Here is a 20498-nt window from a genome sequence, read left to right on the forward strand (position 1 = left end):
TGGTCTCGAACTCCTGACCTCAAGTGATCCACCTGCCTTGGCCTCCCAAAGTGCTGGGTTACAGGTGAGAGCCACTGCGCCCCGCCTATCCAGAGATTTTTTTATTCACCTTTGTGTATACCCTGAGGAAAACCTTATCCATATGACCACTTTGGGCCTCACTTTCCTCTTTTGAAAAAGATAGGGGCCGGGCGTGGTGGCTCACGCCTGTAATCCCAGCACTTTGGGAGGCCAAGGCGGGAGGATCACCTGAGGTGAGGAGTTCGATACCAGCCTCAACATGGAGAAACCCTGTCTCTACTAAAAAATACAAAATTAGCCAGGCATGGTGGTGCATGCCTGTAATCCCAGCTACTCAGGAGGCTGAGGCAGGAGAATTGCTTGAACCTGGGAGGCGGAGGTTGCAGTGAGCCAAGATCGCGCCATTGCACTCCAGTCTGGGCAACCAGAGCAAAACTCCAACTCAAAAAAAAAAAAAGAAAAAGATAACAATAATAATTAAAACAGTGTATTTACCAGGACTCTCTTGAGGGTTCAATGAGACACACCTGTGCATGGAAACTAGGGTACATTCTTATTGATGGGGGAAAACACACTCTGCCTTAAACCTTCCATAGTTCCTATTTGTGTGGAAAATCAGATGATCTCTCAGGCCCCTTTCTAATGGAGGACCCTGGGAACCTAAGTTCCAACTTCCCAGCCTGCAACCTCAAAGTCTCTTGAGGGGGAAGGGGACCCACTACAGGAAGAGGACTGCTGAAGTCCAGCTCAGGGCAGGCAGTTCTTAGTGAGGGGGCAGGCAGAGCAGATTCCTGTCTTGTGCCAGCTTCATCACCCTTCCAGGTCAGCTCCACTGCCTCTGCCCCCAGGAAGCATTCTCTGCTGGCTCTAGCTACACTCTTGGATCCCTGCCTGGATCTTCTACAATTGCTGTCAGGGTGCCCCACCTGAGCAAGACCCGCCTGCTCTCTCTCTCTCTCTCTCTCTCTCTCTCTCTCTCTCTCTCTCTGTAGACTGCTGGGGACCCCGCAGCACCACCAAACACATGGGAATCCCATCCTCCCTAAGGGAAAAGGAAAGACTGGTGGAAAAGAACATTAAGGTTTCTTCTTCAATGATATTTATGAGGTTTCTTAGTCCTGTATCAAAGGAATATGTGCTCATTATAGAAACTGAGAAACCTGGCCGGGCGCGGTGACTCACACCTGTAATCCCAGCACTTTAGGAGGCCAAGGCGGGCTGATCACCTGAGGTCAGGAGTTCAAGATCATCCTGACCAACATGGAGAAACCCCATCTCTACTAAAAATACAAAATTAGCCGGGCATGGTGGCGCATGCCTATAATCCCAGCTACTCCGGAGGCTGAAGCAGGAGAATCACTTGAAACTGGGAGGCGGAGGTTGCGGTGAGCTGAGATCACACTATTGCACTCCAGCCTGGGTAGCAAGAGCTAAACTCCGTCTCAAAAATAAATAAATAAATAAATAAATAAATAAATAAATAAATAAATAAATAAATAAAATGAGTAAAGATTAGCTGGGCATGGTGGCTCACATGCTTGTAGACCCAACTACTTTGGAGGCTGAAGCAGGAGGATCCCTTGAGCCCAGGAGTTCAAGGCTGTAGTGAGTAAGATCATATCACTGCGCTTCAGCCTTGGTGACAGAGTGAGACCTCAACTATTTAAAAAAAAAAAAAAAAAAAGGCCGGGTGCCTTATAGGCTCACACCTATAATCCTAGTACTTTGGGAAGCTGAGGCGGGTGGATTAGCTGAGTTTAAGGAGTTTACCAGGAGTTTAAGACCAGCCTGACTAACATGGTGAAACCCTGTCTCTATTAAAAATACAAAAAATTAGCTGGGTGCAGTGGCGCGCACCTGTAATCCCAGCTACTCAGGAGACTGAGGCAGGAGAATCTCTTGAACCCAGGAGGTGGAGGTTGCAGTGAGCCAAGATTGCACCACTGCACTCCTAGCCTGGGCAACAGAGCCAGACTTCATCTCAAAAAAAAAAAAAAAAAAAATATGCTATGCACAGTGGCTCATGTCTGTAATCCCAGCACTTTGGGAGGCCTACACAGGTGGATCACTTGAGCTCAGGAGTTCAAGACCAGCCTGCCCAACATGGTGAAACCCCATCTCTACTAAAAAATACAAAAATTAGCCAGGGGTGGTGGTGGGTGCCTGTAATCCCAGCTACTGGGGAGGCTGAGGCAGGAGAATTGCTTGAACCTGGGAGGCAGTGGTTGCAGTGAGCCAAGATTGAGCCATTGCATTCCAGCCTGGGCGACAAGAGCGAGACTCTGTCTCAAAAAAAAAAAAAAAAAAAGAAAAGAAAAGAAAAGAAAAAAAAAGGGAGCAAAGGACATGAATAGACATTTTGCAGAAGAAGACATACAAATGGTCAACAAATATATGAAAAAAATGCTCAACATCACTGGTCATCAGAGAAAGGCAAGTCAAAACCACAATGACATATCATCTTACCCCAGTCAGAATGGCTATTATTAAAAAGGCAAAAAATAACAGTTGTTGGTGAGGATGTGGAAAAAAGGAACTCTTTTTTTTCCGAGACAGACTCTCGGTGTGTCACTCAGGCTGGAGTGCAATGGTGCAATCTCGGCTCACTGCAACCTCCGCCTCCTGGGTCCAAGCGATTCTCCTGCCTCAGCCTCCCTAGTAGCTGGGATTACAGGCATCTGCCACCACACCCAGACAATTTTTGTATTTTTTGTAGAGACGGGCTTTCACAATGTTGGTCAGGCTGGTCTCAAACTCCTGACCTCAGGTGATCCACCTGCCTCAGCCTCCCAAAGTGCTGGGATTACAGGCGTGAGCCACTACACCCAGCCGGAGAAAAGGAACTCTTATACACTGTTGGGAATATAAGCTAGTACAGTCACTACAGAAAACAGTATAGAGATTTGTCAAAAAACGAAAAATAGAACTACCATTTGATCCAGCAAGCTCACTACTGGGTATCTACCCAAAGAAAAAGAAAGCAATTTATCAAAGCGATATCTGCACTCTCATGTTTATTGCAGCACTATTCACAGGAGCAAAGACACAGAATCTACCTGTGTTCATCAATGGATGGCTGGATAAAGAAAATGTGGTATATATACACAATGGAATATTAGCCGTAAAAAGAATGAAATCACATTATTTGCAGCTACATGGATGGAAGTTGAGGTGATTATCTTCAGATAAATAAGCCAGGCACAAGGCCAGGCACAGTGGCTCACACCTGTAATCCCACCACTTTGGTAGGCCAAGTTCGGTGGATCACCTGAGGTCAGGAGTTCGAGACCAGCATGGCCAATATGGTGAAACCCCATCTCTTCTAAAAATACAAAAATTAGCTGGGTGTGGTGGCGCGCATCTGTAGTCCCAGCTACTTGGGAGGCTGAGGCAGGAGAATCGCTTGAACCTGGGGGGAGGCAGAAGTTGCAGTGAGCCGAGATGTCGCCACTGCACTAAAAAAAAAAAAAAAAAAAAAGGAGAAATAAGCTAGGCACAAAAAGACAAATATCACGTGTTCTCACTTATATGTGGGAGCTAAAGATAGGGAGTAGGAAGATAGATAGCGGAGGCTGGGAAGGGCGAGTGCGGGGAGAGGGGAGGATGAAGAGAACTGGGTTAAAGGGTACAAACATACAGTAAGAAGGAATAAATTCAGTGTTTGATAATAGAGTCGAGTGACTATACTTAACAAAAATGTATTATACACAGGGGACGGACACCCTAAACACCCGATTTGATCAGTAAGTATTACACACAGGTAACGAAAGTTCACATATCACCCATACATTTTTATAAAAAAAAATTTTTTTTTTTTGAGACAAGGTCTCTTCTGTCTTCCAGGCTGGATTGCAGTGGCGCGATCTCGGCTCACTGTGCCATCTGCTTCCCAGGCTCAGGTGATCCTCCCCACCTCAGCTTCCCGAGTAGCTGGAACTAAAAGTGAGTGCCACCATCCCCGGCTAATTTTTGTATTTTTGGGTAGAGACAGAGTTTTGCCATGTTGCCCAGGCTGGTCTCCAACTCCTGGGCTCAAGTGTTCCGCCTGCCTCCGCCTGCCAAAATGGTGGGAATTACAGGTGCGAGCCACCGCGCCCGACACAACATTTTAAAAAGTAATTATTTATATGTTTGAGTTGAAAAGAACCCGCACACACACACACACACACATACATTTGGGTGTATTTCCTTACCCAGAAGAATGTTCAACGGGTCCATAGCTGATTCCAGAGCCTTTTTAAATGGAATACGAACTTCGTACTTAACTGCAGGATCCTAAATCTTCATTGGATGCTCCAAGACCCAAAATTTAAGAGCTGCTGCTTTGGGGAGTGGGGGCGGCGGGGAGCTGTTCACACACACCTCACAGCCACATACAAATAGGCCTCCATCTGTACACCTGTGACCCATACACCTGACCCATACACATGCACATCCGTACACCTGTGTTCATACACGTGCACACAGTCAAACAGCTTGGCTTGGGAGAAATTTAGGCAAGGCTGCCCGAGACCGGGCTCATTTCACGGACGCTGCTGCCACCTACCGGCTATATCTTGCATTAGCATCCTTGCTTAGTTCCTGCTCTATTCCATTCTGTCCTCCATTGCTCATCCCTGGAAGCTGTGCATTGGAATTGGTTCCTGAAAGAGGGACACGAACAAGGGAGGTGAGTGGGGTGGGGAATTATCATTGACTAACTGTCCGTTATATGTCAGGTACTGCTGTCCCTTACAGCTGTTATATTTGTTTTCTCAATCCATGTGCCTTATGCAGTGCTTGGCCATGAAAAGTTCTAATAGCTATTTCAATTAAATGAATTAAAAACACTTTAGGCCGGGCGGGGTGGCTCACGCCTGTAATCACAGCACTTTGGGAGGCCGAAGCGGGGTGGATCACGAGGTCAAGAGATCGAGACCATCCTGGCCAACATGGTGAAACCTTGTCTCTACTAAAAATACAAAAATTAGCCGAGCGTGGTGGCGCGCGCCTGTAGTCCCAGCTACTCAAGAGGCTGAGGCAGGACAATCGCTTGAACCTAGGAGGCGGAGGCTGCAGTGAGCCGAGATCGCACCACTGCACTCCAGCATGGGCGACAGAGCAAAACTCTGTCTCAAAAAACACACACACACAAACAAACAAACAAAAAAACACTTTAAAGTGAGTGTGTTTAACAAATGAGGAGATGGGCCAGGTGCAGTGGCTCACGCCTGTAATCCCAGCACTTTGGGAGGCTGAGGCAGGAGGATCGCCTGAGTTCAGGAGTTCGAGACCAACCTGGCCAACATGGTGAAACCCCGTCTCTACTAAAAATACAAAAATTAGCTGGGCGTGGTGGTGGGTGCCTGTAATTCCAGCTACTCGGGAGGCTGAGGCAGGAGAATCACTTGAACCCGGGAGGCAGAGGTTGCAGTGAGCCGAGATGGCACCACTGCATTCCAGCCTGGGTGACAAAGCGAGACTCTATCTCAAAAAAAAAAAAAAAAAAAAAAAAAAAGAGGAAATGGGCTGGGCTGGGTGTTGTGGCTCACACCTGTAATCCCAACACTGGAAGGTTGAGGTCTGACAATCACTTGAGCCCAGGAGCTGAGACCAGTCTGGTCAACATAGTGAGACTCCGTCTCTACAGAAAATTTAAAAGTTGGCCAGGTATGGTGGCACAGGCCTGTAGTTCCAGCTACTTAGGGGACTGGGGTGGGAGGATCACTTGATCCTGGGAGACTGCGGCTGCAGTGAGCCATGATCTCACCACTGGACTCCAGCCAGAGTCAGACCCTGTCTCAAAAACAAACAAACAAAAAATTGGGAGATGGGAGCTCAGAGAGGGGAAGTGACTGGCCCAAAGTCTCACAATGCCTTCTTCTGATAGTCAGGAAAGTGCTCTGAAGAGAAGGAGAAGGAAGAAGCAGTGAAGCTGGGAATTTTTACTAAGACGTGCAGGAAGCCCAGCCCAGATTTGGTTCACACACACCTCACAGACACATACAAATAGGCCCACACCTATACACCTGTGACCCAGAGGCCATGCATGCGCACGCTTAGCTGTGTACCCAAACATCACCCACCCCTACACCCTCCACAGCCTGGATACATTCTGTCCTCTCTCACAGACTCATTCTTGGCATCTGTTAACATACACATCACACATACATTCATATTACAGGCACGCACATGCATGCACCTCTTTGTATCCACACCTCCCACTGGGGCACACGTTCAATACCTGTGTGAATCAGGGGATCAGGATGAGGTCAACCTGGAGGGATAATTTCCCCACCACTGGGAAGTTTCTCCTACCCTGAGCTGCTGCTTTAAATTAATTCATTCAACTAGTATTTTATTGTTCACAATGTGGTGGGCTCTGTACTCAGACTAAGGATAAGCAGTGAACAAAGACAAAAGTCCAGTCCCAGGCTGGGCACGGTGGCTCATGCCTGTAATCTCAGCACTTTGGGAGGCCGAAGTGGGCGGATCACGAGGTCAGGAGGTCGAGACCAGCCTGGCCAACATGGTGAAATCCCATCTCTACTAAAAATACAAAAATTAGCCAGGCGTGGTGGCGTGCGCCTGTAGTCCCAGCTACTCGGGAGGCTGAGGTAGAAGAATTGCTTGAATCCAGGAGGCGGAGGTTGCAGTGAGCTGAGATCACGCCACTGCACTCCAGCCTGGGCAGCGGAGTGAGACTCTGTCTCCAAAAAAAAAAAAAGGAAAAGAAAAAAAGTCCAATCCCTGTCCTCATTCCAATGTGGGGGCACGAAATGGGCTCCTTCTTTGCTGTCCCACTCCTACAGGCTTTTGGGACCTGTTTGAGTTTCTTGTCGCCATCCCAACTCTGCTGAGTGGATGAGCAGGGGGAGGTGGGTCGTGGTGGGGAGGGATGGTTCTGTCCCAACTCTTCAGTATTGAGGTTGAGCAAAGAGAACCTCAAACTTGGAGTCAGTTGGACCTGGGTCTGAATCCAGCCTTAGCCACTCCCTTGTTCTGTGACCTTGGTCCAGTTTCTTACCCTTGCCGGTCTGCTGTTTTCTCACTGGTTAAAGCAAAGAGCTTGAACTAGGGCAGTGTTTCCAACTCGTAGTTCCTTAGAGAAGCTGGAAGAAGCCACATGGAGGGTGTAGGGGGAGACAGAGGGGAGGCCAACCCCACCTTACCCACCCACATCCACTGCTTCACTCAGAACAGCCCTGCTTCCCTCTGTTTCATACATTGGGCTTCTATGATTAAGAGTCTGAGGCTGGGCACAGTGGCTCATGCCTGTGATCCCAACACTTTGGGAGACTGAGGCATGAGGAGCGCTTAAGCCCAGGAGTTCGAGACCAGTCTGAGCAACATGGCGAAACCCTGTCTCTACAAAATACAAAAAAAATTGGCCAGGCATGGTGGTGCATGCCTGTAGTCCAGCTACTCGGAAGGCTGAGATGGGAGGATTGCTGGAGACTGGAGAGGTTGAGGCTGCAGTGAACCATGATCGTGCCACTGCACTCCAGCCTGGGTGACAGAGTGAGACCCTGTTTCAAAAAAAGAAAAAAGAAAGAAAGAAAAAAAAGAGTTTGATAACCTCTTGGACTAGTTGATATCTAAGTTCTTCTTGGCCCTAAACATTTTAAGACTCCTTCCATGTCTTATTTGACCACCAGACTGTGAATTAGAAAAGGGCTGGTCGGCAGGGCGTGGTGGCTCAAGCCTGTAATCCCAGCACTTTGGGAGGCCGAGGAGGGCGGATCACGAGGTCAGGAGATCGAGACCATCCTGGCTAACATGGTGAAACCCCGTCTCTACTAAAAATACAAAAAAAAAAAAAGAGTTTCACTTTGTCGCCAGGCTGGAGTGCAGTGGCACAATCTCGGCTCACTGCAACCTCTGCCTCCCAGGTTCAAGCGATTCCCCTACCTCAGCCTCCTGAGTAGCTGGGATTACAGGCATCCGCCACCATACATGGCTAATTTTTGTATTTTTAGTACAGACGGGGTTTAACCATGTTGGTCAAGCTGCCCTCGAACTCCTGACCTCAAGTGATCCACCAGCCTCAGCCTCTTAAAGTGCTGGGATTACAGGCGTGAACCACCACACTCAGCCGCCTTCTGTATTCTTAACTTTTTTTTTTTTTTTGAGATGGAGTCTTGCTCAGTCGCCCAGACTAGAGTGCAGTGGTGTGATCTCGGCTCACTGCAACCTCCACCTCCTGGGTTCAAGCGATTCTCCTGCCTCAGCCTCCTGAGTAGCTGGGATTACAGGTGCGCGCCACCATGCCCAGCTAATTTTTGTATTTTTAGTTGAGATGGGGTTTCACCATGTTGGTCAGGCTGGTCTTGAACTCCTGACCTCAGGTGATCCACCTGCCTCGGCCTCCCAAAGTGCTGAGATTACAGGCATGAGCCACCGTGCCCGGCCTGTATTCTTAACTTCGCATTCTTTATCTAGGAAGACCCCCCACCTCAGACAAGCTTCAGGCCCCACAATCCTGGATCTGCCCGTTGGGTCTTCGGTTTTCCCAACTGCAAAGAGAGAATAAAGGCTGTGAAAGGACTTCATAGGATGTAAGATAATCTCTTTTATTTTTAAAATTTGTATTTATTTTTGAGACAGGGTCCTGCTCTGTTGCCCAGGCTGGAGTGCAGTGGCACAATCACAGCTTACTATAGCCTAGACCTCATGGGCTCAAGCGATCCTCCCATTTTAGCTTCCTGAGTAGTTGGGACTATAGGCGCATGCCACCACATCTGGCTAATTTTTCGTATTTTTTTTGTAGAGATGGGGTTTCGTCACGTTGCCCAGGGTGGTTGTGAACTCTTGGGCTGAAGCAATCACCCTGCCTTGGTCTCCTAAATTGTTGTGATTACAGGTATAAGTCAGTGCTCCTCGCCTATTTTTTAAATTAAATTTTATTTATTAATTTTTAAAAGACTAGTCAAGTGCAGTAGTGAGGAGGGAAAGAATAGAACAAAGAGTTTGATCTGTAACTGATGGTGAATAATCAATTGAGATAATTCACTACTTTCAGGCCAGCATATTTTCATCTTTTTTTAGAGACAGGGTCTCACCGTGTTGCCAGGCTGGTTTCAAGTGATCCTCCTGCCTCGCTTCCCAAAGTGCTGGGCTAACAGGTGTGAGCCACCTCGCCTGGCCACTGATGATCTCTCTTATTCCTTTCAAAGTCCCCAGAGAAGAAAAAATGAAGAGGAAACATAAGGGACTTAGGGTTTCACAGCAAGTTGTGGCAAGCTGTGAGGTTGCAATCCAGGATAGCCCACTTGAAAGCTCCCCTTTCATATCACCTCCTGCCTTGAGTGCACACCTGTGCACGCAAAGTCACCCGCCTTTCCCAGGAACTCAGCCTCTGGCAGCCTGGAAGGCTCAGCTTTGCACTTCCGCCCCAACTGCTCCATGACCTCGAGGGGGCAGCAGACACCGTCTTTCCCTCACCCTGGCAACTGCTCATTCCAGTTTTCAGAGTCCCACATAGCCAGAATCTCAGCTCTCCCCAAACACCTCCATCAGCTCTCTCCTGCCCCTCCCTGCAAACAGCGAGTATCGCCTTCAAGTCCTGGCCTTGTCATGTTCTGGCTGTGTGATAGTGAGCAGATCACCTCACCGCCCTCTGCCTCATTGAACTCATCCATAAAATAGGGCTATCTTGTGAAAACAGGTCAGTGAAGCACCCGGCACGTATATAATACACCAACAATCATTGACAGCCATTGCTGTTTCAACAAGGCCTTCCGGAGATGTCACCTCCCCTGGGAAGGGGTTCTCCTGATAGGATTGGCCCCTGCCCCACGCTGTGGCAAAGCCGAGGAACTCCTAGGCAGTGGGGCCTTTCAGGGCTCTTCAGTGTTCATTTGTTGGCATCCTCTGTGCCCATACATGGGCCCCTCCCTGGGCTGCAGTGTCTGACTTGGCTTTTTCTCCATCCCTACCAACCCCGATCTCTCCCTTGGAAGGGCTCTGCAACTTCATCCCCACCTCAATGTCTTCCTGAGGATTTTCCCCAATTTTCTTATCTTTTTTCTTTTCTTTTCTTTTCTTTTTTTTTTTTTTTTTGAGACAGAGTCTCACTCTGTTGCCCAGGCTGGAGTGCAGTGGTAGAATCTCGGCTCACTGCAACCTCTGCCTCCCAGGTTCAAGTGATTCTCCTGCCTCAGCCTCTTGAGTAGCTGGGATTACAGGCGCCCGCCACCATGTCTGGCTAATTTTTTTCTATTTTCAGTAGAGACAGGGTATCACCATGGTTGGCCAGGCTGATCTCGAACTCCTGACCTCATGTGATCCGCCTGCCTCAGCCTCCCAAAGTGCTGGGATTATAGGCGTAAGCCACTGTGCCTGGCCCCAAATTTCAAATGCATTCTCCTGGAGAAGGGTTGCTGACCCACTGCCTACCGATTTTCACTGTCCCCTTACCCACCCCTAAATGACTGCCACACCCTAGTCCCCTCTATCTCAAAGACTCACTGACCATCCCCAAATGTCTCTTCCCCTGTGTCTTAACCCAGCATTTGAAGCCTTCCACAATTTGGTCTCATGATTCACCCTGTCCTTCAACTATCCCAGACCATTTTCTGTTCCCAGAGTACACCTTCACTATCCTACCTCTAAGCCTTTGTGCAGGCTGTTCCTCCACCTGGAATGCCCTCTCTCATTTCCATGTAGTAAATTAGTCCTTAATGTCCAGCTGGGAGGTCACCTCCTCCAGGCAGTCTTCCTTACTCCCTCAGATGGAGTCATTTTCCCCTCTGGGCTCTGGGCATACAATTGCTTTAGGGTCTTCCTCATAGGAAGCCGTGAGTAACAGCAGGAACATCCATTATCCACACTTTGCAAATGCCTTTCCCTTCTAGTATCATGGTCCTGGGAAAAGCAGCAGGGTGAGAGCCATTAACTCCTTTGACTGATGAGGAGACAGGCTAGGAGGAAGTCATAAGCCCCGTAAATGGTGGAGACAGGATTCAAACCCGAAACGGCCACACCGGCTGCCTTGGGCCTGAAAGTCCTCTCCCTCTCTACCATTTCTTGTGGCCTGGTCTTGTGACTCTCTGCCCCTTTGTCAGTCTCAACTTTTAATAATTCGCTCAATGAAGCGCTGCTGAAGGAACAGAGGCTCCCACGTGTGCACTTCCCCGCCCCCAACCTGTCTGTTCCTTGCCTTCTTTATCACCCACCTCAAGCCCATCTGAAGCTGGTGGGAGTGCCCAGGCTCTGACAGGATAAGGAATTCCTGGAGGTCCAGGCCTTCTCAGAGGAGCGGGGGGAGACACAAACAGGTTCCTTCCTCCACCCCCCAAGCTTATCAGCGCCCCACAGGCTCCGGGGAACTGAATGCTCAGCCAAGGGAGGAAAGCTGCCCCCTGCCTGTCACCTTCACACCCTCTATTACTTACCCCGTCTCTACTAAAAATACAAAAAAAAATTAGCTGGGCATGGTGGTCTGTGCCTGTAATCCCAGCTACTAGGGAGGCTGAGGCAAGAGAATTGCTTGAACCTGGGAGGCAGAGGTTGCAGTGAGCTGAGATCACGCCACTGCACTCCAGCCTGGGCGACAGAGCAGGACTCCGTCTCAAAAAAAAAAAAAAAAAAGAGTGGTATGACCTTGGGTTGCCACTTTAGCTCTCTGAGCCTCAGAAGCTCTTTAGAACATTTTTGGCTGTTAGGATTCAATAAGATAAAATGAGCAAATGCCTGTAAAAGAACCAGGATCGCTAAATGTGAGTGGCTTCTTCAAGAGGTCACTGCTGACGGGGGCATCTCAGGTAGCAAAGTGCTCCCTGCAGTCTGGGGATGGAGGCGAAGATTATGATGTCACTGGCAGAGGCCATGGGGCAGGGGGCCTGCAGTCCAGGGAGTGACAGCTTTCCCGCTTCAGTGACTGACAAAGCCACACAAGGCCTTCACCCACACAAGTGCACAAGTCACCTCAACGAGAAACACACACACAGGTGCCTGGGTGGAGGGGCTGTGGGACAGGGCAGAGCTCTCTAGGTCCCAGGGCCTGAGGCCCAGGGGACAACCTGTTTATAGGACACAGACAGACACAGATTCACACCCTCTATATAAACTCACAAACAGGGGCACACCCTCACAGGCACCAAAACACACCCCCCTACACATACACATACACAAATGCACAGAAACAGGAGATACAGGATCACAAGCATATTCCCAAATGCACTCCCCACGCACAAATTCAGAAACGCAGAGCCCTCCCTGGCCAACACACACACACACACACACACACACACACACACACACACACACACACACTCTTATCAGGCTGGGGCAGGCACTGGCACTGCTGAGTCACCCACAGGCAGCTCAGCCCAACAGAGCTAGAGCCACGTGGCTGCCCCAGCAGGGAGGGGGCAGGGCCCACAGCAGCTCTTTAGAATCACCCCATCCACCTGACTGCTGGGGTTTTCCTCTCCCTAGCCCTTTGATTGAGTCAGGGGTGGGGATGGGGTTGGGGGAGGAGCCACTGTTTGCAGAGGCCAAATCAAAAATTTCACAGCCTGCACTCTCCTGGGTGCAAGAGTACACGTGAGAGGAATTAAAAAATACTACTAGATTAATTACTATTTGCAAATATATTTTCACATACTCCCATTTAACCATCACAACAGCTCTATATAAAGTTAGCACTATTATTAATCTCATTTTACCCCAGGGTGGGGGGCGGGTGCCTTGCCCCAAAGCCCAAAACCCAGACTCACCTGCCTCCAAATCCCTACCTCGTAACCCCTGGGCAATACTGTCTGGTGGGCAGGTGTGATATAGGCAAGTGAAAGGTACATCAATGTGCTTGGGAGCCTGGTTGTCTATGTGTGTGTGTGCGCACGTGTGTGTGCTCGCGCACCAGGCTTCCCCAGGGGATTCACAGGGATAGAGACTGAAAGGGTCTCAAGTGTCCTGATTTCTGGTCGAAGGATCCAACACTTCTCTAGTCCCTTGAAGCCCACCTCCCTCCATCAGAAAACATCTCCCCAGTCAAAGGGCTCAGTCTGACCCTCCTCTGCTAGATTATGGGCTCCTTGAAGGCAGGAACCAGGGCCCTGAAGCCTCAAACAGGACCTGATTCAGAGAAGTCCTCAGTGAATTTGGAGGGGGGGAGAGTCAGTCAATGTATGACTTTTAATTCAGTTATGTATCAATATAACAATAACATCAATAATTATAATAAATGCTAATGCTTATTGCATGCTTACCCTGGGACTGGCACTGTTCTTAGCACTTGACATGGATTCTTTCATTCAATTCTTGCCACAACCCTTGAGGAAAATACTTTCATTAACCCCACTTTGCAGAGGAGGAAACTGGCTTGGAGAGAGTTAGTAGCTCACCCAAAGTAACTCAATTAGGAAGTGGCAGCGTTGGGGATTGGAACACAGGAAGTCTAGTTACCCCATTTAGTAGGAAGATCACTACATTCAGAGGAAGGCTTTGTCCTCAGCGAGCCTCAGTTTGCCATATTTGTCCAAAGAAAGGGTTAGTTTTCCACGGTGCTCTGGCCTGGAATATTCTATGATCCTATGATTCTGTGACGAAGAGCTTTTGAAGTGTCAGGGTTAGTTTTAAAATGAAAGAGGCCATTCTGCCGGGTGGTGAGCTTCCTGACATGGGCATATGTAAGCCAGCTCAGGCCTGAAATGGGAGGGAGGGGATGAGACTTCGGCCAGTGACCATGGAAGCGTTGATGGAGTGGACCATCAGGAGGGGAAAAGTCACTGAGAAGAGTGGCAAGGCGGGCACGACAGGATCCAGAACTCGCTTTTACGGAACGCCTACTGTGTACCAGACCTATGCTTGACATTTAACTTACATCGCTAATTCTCAGGAAAACATTGTAAGATTTATGGTTGACGAAATTCAGATCCAGAGAAGTGACTTGTTCAGGGTCACGCCGGACGAAGTGGTAGGACAGGCGATCCAGGTGAGTCTCCTCAGGGTCACTTCCCTAGATCCCCTCTGACCAACCCCTCTACCTAGTAACCTTAGGAGCAGTACCACGTGTCAAATTGCTTCACACTTTTGTCATATGACGTCACACCAGTCAATCCAGGAACTCCCTGCCCTTCCCTCCCCTGACCTCTGGGGTCTATCAAAGCAGCCCCCGGCTCAGTGTCCCCGCCGGACGAGGCTACACCTGCAGCCCCCGCCCCTTCCCAACTGCGACTCTCGCACTCCTCTGCCCGGGCCTCCCCCTCCCCGCCCCGCTGATCGGCAGTTGCCTGCGCCAATCAGAGGGCCTAGCGGGCGGGGCGGGGCCTCACGATGGAGTTGCCCTGTCAGTGCAGGTGGAGGCCCCGGCGGGGCAAAGTGGCAGGAACCTCTTAAAGGGCGAGAGCGGCGCGGAGCCAGAACGCGGTCGGCCCGGTCCCCGCCGCACCCAGCCCAGGTGAGCCTGGACCACCTGGGGGGCGACCCTCGGTCCCCGGGAGGGACGGGGTTAGGGACAGAAGAACCTACCCCCAAGGGCTCGGACCGTCCCGGGAGAGGCGAGACCAGGGTCGAAGGGTCCAGGGCTGAGGGGTCCAGCGGTCCCGAATTCCAGAATCCGAACTTGGGGTCCAAAGGAGTCTGGGCATCTTAAAGTTCAGGGTGCAGGGAGGGGCGTGGGAGTCTGGAGAGGGGGTCCGGGAGCTCGGATCCGGAGCTAGACACGTCCGGGTCCGGCCGGTCCTGGCTGTCTGGGGCGGGGGTCCTGCATTCGGTGTCCGCGGGAGAGTCCCTGCAGGTCGGCGCAGCCCCCGGCCGCCCCCTAGCCCCGCCTTGCCCGGCCCCGCATGCTCCTGCCGGGCCCGCAGCAGCGCTGGAGCGGGCTGGCGGCTAGCAGCGGGAGGGGGCTCCGGGGCCTGGAGCCCCGCGCCCCGCTCCGGCCCTTACGTAACTGACTTTGAGTTTCCGGACCCAGGAACCGACCCGCCAGCTGGGGCGCCGGCTGTGCCCGCCAGGGTGGCCCCCCCGGCCGTCGCGCCAGCCCCACACCCTCCCTGCCAGGCTTGGTCTAGGGGACTTCCCTCTGTCTGGGTCTCCCGGGTCTCTCTGTCCGGTTCAGGCTCAGGTTCCCTCTCATCTCTGGGTTCCCTGTATCTCTCATCTGTCGTCTCTGTTTTGCTGTCTTTTCCTGTCTCTGTCCTCTGTCTTTCCTCAAGAATTGTCTCGCCCTCACCTACACTTCCCGGCAGGCCCCACCTCTTCAGGGTGGGACAGGACCCCTCCTCTCCAGCTAGTTGGAGGCAGGGACCTGTCCAGACCAACCCGAGCCCGAGCTCGCTCCAGGAGTGGGGAGGAGAGAGGAGGGTTGGGGAAGATGATTCTAGGACCCTTAGCTCCTGGGTCCGGGAACGGACGACCCCTTCTCCGCCTCTGGAGCCCTTTCCTCCAGAAGGAGGAGGCTTGGACAGAACCTGGCTGGGGCTGGGCTTAGGGCAACTGGGAGTCCCTGTGAGAGCTGCCTAGTGTCTCGTCAGGGTCAGGTCCTCAGCTATTGAAGGGGAGCGGGAGGGGCTGGGGAGGGGCCAGAGCCCTGGCACGCGCCCCGGAGCTTCAGCAAGCTCCCTACCTCCACCCAGTTTCAGGCCTGGAGGATGGTCTTGGCAGGAGGCTGGGTGGGGAAGGGATCTGCAGGAGGAGGCTCAAGGGACTTCTGCATGTTGGGGAGGAGGGTGGAGATAGAATGACAGACCCGCAAGTCTAAGGAGCACCTACTGGGAACACTCCCTGCCTTGAAGGCTCTCCGGGGTGTCAGACAGACACTTCGGAAATCACTGTAAATAAGGCGTTAAAGCAGGTGTGAGGTGGGAATTATTATTTCTTCTTTTTTTTCTTTTGAGACGGAGTCTCGCTCTGTCGCCCAGGCTAGAGTGCAGTGTCGCGATCTCGGCCCACTGCAAGCTCCGCCTCCCGGATTCACGCCATTCTCCTGCCTCAGCCTCCCGAGTAGCTGGGATTACAGGCGCCCGCCACCGCGCCCGGCTAATTTTTTGTATTTTTAGTAGAGACGGGGATTCACCGTGTTAGCCAGGATGGTCTCGATCTCCTGACCTCGTGATCCACCCACCTCGGCCTCCCAAAGTGCTGGGATTACAGGCGTGAGCCACCGCGCCAGGCCGGGAATTATTAATTCTAAGCCAGGAGAAACTTTGCGCAAGGAGGTAGGAGGCTTGAGAAGAAAGGGAGCCAGAAGCTGAAGGGAGCAGAGGGAGGGATGAAAGGGGACATCCAGTGCCCAGTAGGCTCTGCACACAGCAGAACTGGGTTGAATCCTGACCCTTCCACTTTCCTGCTGTGTGATCCTGCATGAGTCACTTCACCTCTCTGAGTCCCAGGCTTGTACTTTGTCAATAATCCGGACCTTGCAGGCATAAGCAGCATCAAATAGGCAATGTGTATGCAGACCAGAACGGTAGCTGGTCTGATAGCAGGCCAGTAGTGTGTTTTAAGAAGGGAATGGAGTGGGGAAGTCCTGAGGTTTCCGCTGTATGTATAGGAGAGCCAGGCAACACCTGCCAGGTCTCAGCAACATGGGGCATGGGTGGAGTGCCTGGGTGTATGGGTGATACTCATTGAGGCCACACTGGCTGTCTCCTGATTGGCCCATCCCTCCTAGACCAGGGCTGGCCTCCCTCCTGTAGGCTCCAGGTGCCAACAGAAGCTCCCACCCAGGCCGCCTTACTCCCCAGACGAGTGCGGGTAGAGCCCTGTCAGGGCAGGACCAGCACCCTCTCTGCAGAATGGACCATGGCCAGGAGACTGGCTGGCCGTGCTGGGCAGGAACATCCATCTGGCTAGGAAGATGCTGACGCTGTGCAGGCCCCATGGAGGTCCAGACCTCTGTTGGCTGGGGCTGGGCCCAGCTGATGGAACCTAGGCTGCAGGGTGAGACAGAGGCTGGGGTGGTGGGAGTGAGGAGGGGAGGTGCAAGGAGGGACTCCTGGAGAGGAATCCTGAGCCCAGGTGTGGAACCAAACCGAGCTTCATTCGGTTATTCTCTAAGCCTTTCTTGAGCACGTACTGTGCACCATATACAGGTCTGCCAGCCACAGACCTGAACAGGATACTCACAGAGGGCTCACCACAGAGTTATGGTGTCCTGAGATTTGTTAGGGGTTTGCAGAATGGGCCTGTATGACAGTTCCTGGGGATAGGGGAGTTCAGAATTTTCCCAGGGCCTTAGATTCTGATATTTTATTTTATTTTTATTTTTATTTTTATTTTATTTTATTTTATTTTGTTTTTTTGAGACAGAGTCTCACTCTGTTGCCCAGGCTGGAGTGCAGTGGCATGATCTCAGCTCACTGCAACCTTCACCTCCTGGATTCAAGCGATTCTCTTGCCTTAGCCTCCTGAGTAACTGGGATTACAGGCTCCTGCCACCATGCCTGGCTAATTTTTTTATTTTTAGTAGAGATAGGATTTTGCCATGTTGGCCAGGGTGGTCTCGAACTCCTGACCTCAGGTGATCTGCCCACCTCGGCCTCCCAAAGTGCTGGGATTACAGGCGTGAGCCACCGTGCCTGGCTGATTCTGATATTTATTAAAGGGGGTGGGATTCCACTCCTTTATAGTCTGCAGGCTAGTCACTTTGCTCCCTGGGTTTCAGTTTCCCTTTCTGTGAAATGAGTAGGGGAGATAAGTCTAAAGTCTCTACGGGTCTTCCAGCGCCTATTACTATAGCCTCGGGACCTAGTTTGGGACTTAGTCTACCCCCTACTCTCACTCCACGTGAGGGGATAGGATGGAGCAAGATGAAGGCTGAGTATGACGGGCCCACAAGTCCTGTTCTTGGCCCGTGTTCTCTAATCATAATTACAGCCACTGCCTGTTAAGCACTTACTATGCACAGCATTCTGTTCTAAGCCTTTAATACGCTGCATTAACTCATTCAATCCTTACAATCTCATGAGGGAAATATTATCTTTGTTTTGCAGGAGTTTAGGGAGCTGAACAGACTTGACCAAAGTCACAAAGCTGGGAAGTGGCCGAGCTGGGATTTGAACTTAGGTTCAACTCCAAAGCCCAGACCTAACTAAGAGTGGGAGCCTCCACCCCACGGGTACTGAGGTGCCCACATTGCTCAGCCCTTACCTGTGGAACTGTTTGACCCCTGCTGGAGCAAAGCTCTGAGCTCTGGGATCTTGAGGCTGGGGAACTGGGGAACAAGCTGTGCTGCCTCTGTTGGGTGGCCCCTGGGGCCAGCATAGAGAGAAAGGGGCAGAGGGAGCAACCTCCAGGTCAGCCAGGGCCCACTAGGGGTTTCCCCAGAGGGGCAGCCCCACGCAGCTACTGCCCAGGTGCAAGACTGGGCACTGAAAGGCAACCTTGGGTATGTGGCCAACTTTGGACCTCAGTTGCCTCATCTGTAAAGCATGGACTTAAATGAGTGTAGACACTCCTTGACCCCTGGGTTAGTGGCTGAGGTCAGCAATAGGATAAAGGGTTAGAGGAGAGCTTGGAGTGACAGTGACTGAGTCTGTGAAGGAAGAGTTTGGGTCAGGAACATCTTGGATCCTGGGCCAGCTGTTTGATAGCTATTTCAGAGGAAGAGACTGAGGTTGGAGAGGTTCAAAGGCTTGTCTGGGGCTGTTCAGCCAGTACCCCAGAGACTGAAGGGAAATAAACCAAGGGAAAACCCGGAGAACAAAATCCAGGCAGATATGAGCTAGAATCCTGGGTTGGCCACTTAACTAGGCTTGGAGGTGTGAAGTGGCACCCCTGAGGACACACGAGAGTCCCTTCACCTAACTGTCCTCATCTTTAAAGTGGGAATAGTAACAATTTCTCCTTTGTCCACTTCCTGGGTTGTTGTGAAGGTTAAAGGAGATGAGGCATTTGTAAAATCAGGTGAGAATGTGGTTGCTGGTCATTTTTCAGTCCAAAGCTGCAGTTCCGGGTTTGTGTTTGTGGTGGTGGGAGCATTTCTGACAGCTCCTCTGTTGAGATGCTTTATCCAGGAGTTGTGCTGGAGAGAAGCCCTAAGAATAACACCACCGGCCGGGCATGGTGGCTCACACCTGTAATCCCAGCATTTTGGGAGGCCAAGGTGGGCGGGTCACCTGAGATCAGGAGTTCGACACAGCCTGGCTAACACGGTGAAACCCCGTCTCTACTAAAAATACAAAAAATTAGCTGGGCATGGTTGGTGGCAGGCGTCTATAATCCCAGCTACTCGGGATGCTGAGGCAGGAGAATCACTTGAACCGAGGAGGCGGAGGTTGCAGTGAGCCAAGATCGTGCCACTGCACTCCAGCCTGGGCAATAAGAACAAGACTGCATCTCAAAAAAAAAAAAAAAAAAAAAAGAATAACACCACCATTTATTGCACAGTTGCCGGTACCAGGCATTGTACTCAACTTCACCTCTCATTGTATCATTAACCCCCTACAGCAACTTTGTCAGGTAGGTGGTACCCCTCACCCATGCTGGGTCCCTCCAAAACCCATGCCAACAGCCCCTGTAATGATAGTAGCAAACGCTTCTGAATGGTTTACTGTGTGCCAAGCATCCTTCCAGACGTGTTACATGTATTGACCCATGTTAATCCTCACATCAACCCTGTGAGGTGGATACTAATATTATCTCCAGTTTGCAGATGAATAAATGAGGCATAGACAAGTAAAAACGAGGCCAGGCGTGGTGGCTCAAGCCTATAATCCCAGCACTTTGGGAGGCTGAGGTGGGTAGATCACCTGAGGTCAGGAGTTTGAGACCAGCCTGACTAATACGATGAAACCCCATCTCTACTAAAAATACAAAAATACACGGTGGCATGCGCCTATAATCCCAGCTACTTGGGAGGCTGAGACAGGAGAATCGCTTGAACCAAGGAGGCGGAGGTTGCGCCATTGCACTCCAGCCTGGGCAACAAGAGGGAAACTCTGTCTCAAACAAACAAACAAATAAACAAAACAAAACAAAACAAATGGCCCCAATGTCACAAAAGGTAGAGCCATAAATAGTGAAGTCAGGATTTTCCCAGGTTCTTTTTTTTTTTTTTTTTTTTTTTTGAGACAGAATCTTACTCTGTTGTCCAGGCTGGAGTGTAGTGGTGCGATCTTGGCTCACTGCAACCTCTGCCTCCCAGGTTCAAGCAATTCTTGTGCCTTAGCCTCCTGAGTAGCTGGGATTATAGGCACCCACCACCATGCCAGGCTAATTTTGTATTTTTGGAGAGACGGAGTTTCACCATGTTGGCCAGGCTGGTCTCAAACTCCTGGCTTCAAGTGATTTGCCTGCCTCGGCCTCCCAAAGTGCTGGGATTACAAGTGTCAGGTTCTTTTATTCTGAGATAGGGTCTCACTCTGTCGCCCAGGTTAGAGTACAATGGGGTGATCACGGCTCACTTCAGCCTTGACCTCCTGGGCTCAAGGGAGCCTCCTACCTAAGCCTCCTGAGTAGGTGGGACTCCACCACACACACCTAATTTTCATATTTTTTGTAGAGATGGGGTTTCCCCATGTTGCCTAGGCTGGTCTTGAACTCCTGAGCTC

General features: G+C 50.9%; 1 protein-coding gene across 12 annotated transcripts in view, besides 12 other annotated features; it reads left to right on the top strand.

Annotated features, from left to right (window-relative positions):
- Window positions 10942-11512: a transcriptional cis regulatory region, noted in NCBI's record as "candidate enhancer chr1.4081 targeted for multiplex CRISPR interference". NCBI's record gives its function as "positively regulates EPB41 gene expression with high confidence in K562 erythroleukemia cells {active_cell/tissue: K562}" and the evidence as "EXISTENCE:mutant phenotype evidence [ECO:0000015][PMID:30612741]".
- Window positions 11239-11383: an enhancer, noted in NCBI's record as "145 bp enhancer 282 fragment used in the MPRA reporter construct; PK_construct_4257". NCBI's record gives its function as "activates an SV40 promoter by MPRA in K562 cells {active_cell/tissue: K562}" and the evidence as "EXISTENCE:reporter gene assay evidence [ECO:0000049][PMID:23512712]".
- Window positions 11288-11327: a transcriptional cis regulatory region, noted in NCBI's record as "EPB41 E1 GATA1 binding motif region targeted for CRISPR/Cas9 perturbation". NCBI's record gives its function as "positively regulates EPB41 gene expression in K562 erythroleukemia cells {active_cell/tissue: K562}" and the evidence as "EXISTENCE:manual assertion [ECO:0000218][PMID:33828297]" and "EXISTENCE:mutant phenotype evidence [ECO:0000015][PMID:27044088]".
- Window positions 11302-11319: a transcriptional cis regulatory region, noted in NCBI's record as "GATA motif; MPRA enhancer 282 activity is reduced when this motif is scrambled". NCBI's record gives its function as "necessary for full MPRA enhancer 282 activity {active_cell/tissue: K562}" and the evidence as "EXISTENCE:site-directed mutagenesis evidence [ECO:0005528][PMID:23512712]".
- Window positions 11756-12660: a transcriptional cis regulatory region, noted in NCBI's record as "candidate enhancer chr1.4082 targeted for multiplex CRISPR interference". NCBI's record gives its function as "positively regulates EPB41 gene expression with high confidence in K562 erythroleukemia cells {active_cell/tissue: K562}" and the evidence as "EXISTENCE:mutant phenotype evidence [ECO:0000015][PMID:30612741]".
- Window positions 11756-12675: a biological region, named in NCBI's record as "CRISPRi-validated cis-regulatory element chr1.4082". NCBI's record gives its function as "regulatory_interactions: EPB41".
- Window positions 11995-12675: an enhancer, noted in NCBI's record as "H3K27ac-H3K4me1 hESC enhancer chr1:29211313-29211993 (GRCh37/hg19 assembly coordinates)". NCBI's record gives its function as "activates a minimal SCP1, AML or CMV promoter by ChIP-STARR-seq in naive H9 embryonic stem cells {active_cell/tissue: H9 hESC(naive)}" and the evidence as "EXISTENCE:reporter gene assay evidence [ECO:0000049][PMID:30033119]".
- Window positions 12068-12117: an enhancer, noted in NCBI's record as "active region_607". NCBI's record gives its function as "activates an Ori minimal core promoter by ATAC-STARR-seq in GM12878 lymphoblastoid cells {active_cell/tissue: GM12878}" and the evidence as "EXISTENCE:reporter gene assay evidence [ECO:0000049][PMID:35858748]".
- Window positions 12273-12312: a transcriptional cis regulatory region, noted in NCBI's record as "EPB41 E2 GATA1 binding motif region targeted for CRISPR/Cas9 perturbation". NCBI's record gives its function as "positively regulates EPB41 gene expression in K562 erythroleukemia cells {active_cell/tissue: K562}" and the evidence as "EXISTENCE:manual assertion [ECO:0000218][PMID:33828297]" and "EXISTENCE:mutant phenotype evidence [ECO:0000015][PMID:27044088]".
- Window positions 14052-14341: a silencer, noted in NCBI's record as "silent region_548". NCBI's record gives its function as "represses an Ori minimal core promoter by ATAC-STARR-seq in GM12878 lymphoblastoid cells {active_cell/tissue: GM12878}" and the evidence as "EXISTENCE:reporter gene assay evidence [ECO:0000049][PMID:35858748]".
- The window catches only part of EPB41 (erythrocyte membrane protein band 4.1), a 232942-nt gene continuing 226737 nt past the window's right edge, over window positions 14294-20498 (top strand). For all 12 annotated transcript variants that reach the window (NM_203342.3, NM_001166005.2, NM_203343.3 and 9 more), the window contains exon 1: window positions 14294-14404. The gene's annotated coding sequence lies outside the window, so the exon portion shown is untranslated. The remainder of the gene's footprint in view (window positions 14405-20498) is intronic.
- Window positions 14352-14571: a silencer, noted in NCBI's record as "silent region_549". NCBI's record gives its function as "represses an Ori minimal core promoter by ATAC-STARR-seq in GM12878 lymphoblastoid cells {active_cell/tissue: GM12878}" and the evidence as "EXISTENCE:reporter gene assay evidence [ECO:0000049][PMID:35858748]".
- Window positions 14712-15061: a silencer, noted in NCBI's record as "silent region_550". NCBI's record gives its function as "represses an Ori minimal core promoter by ATAC-STARR-seq in GM12878 lymphoblastoid cells {active_cell/tissue: GM12878}" and the evidence as "EXISTENCE:reporter gene assay evidence [ECO:0000049][PMID:35858748]".

The sequence above is a fragment of the Homo sapiens genome, chromosome 1 (genome assembly GCF_000001405.40).
Source record: "Homo sapiens chromosome 1, GRCh38.p14 Primary Assembly".
Classification (NCBI taxonomy): domain Eukaryota; kingdom Metazoa; phylum Chordata; class Mammalia; order Primates; family Hominidae; genus Homo; species Homo sapiens.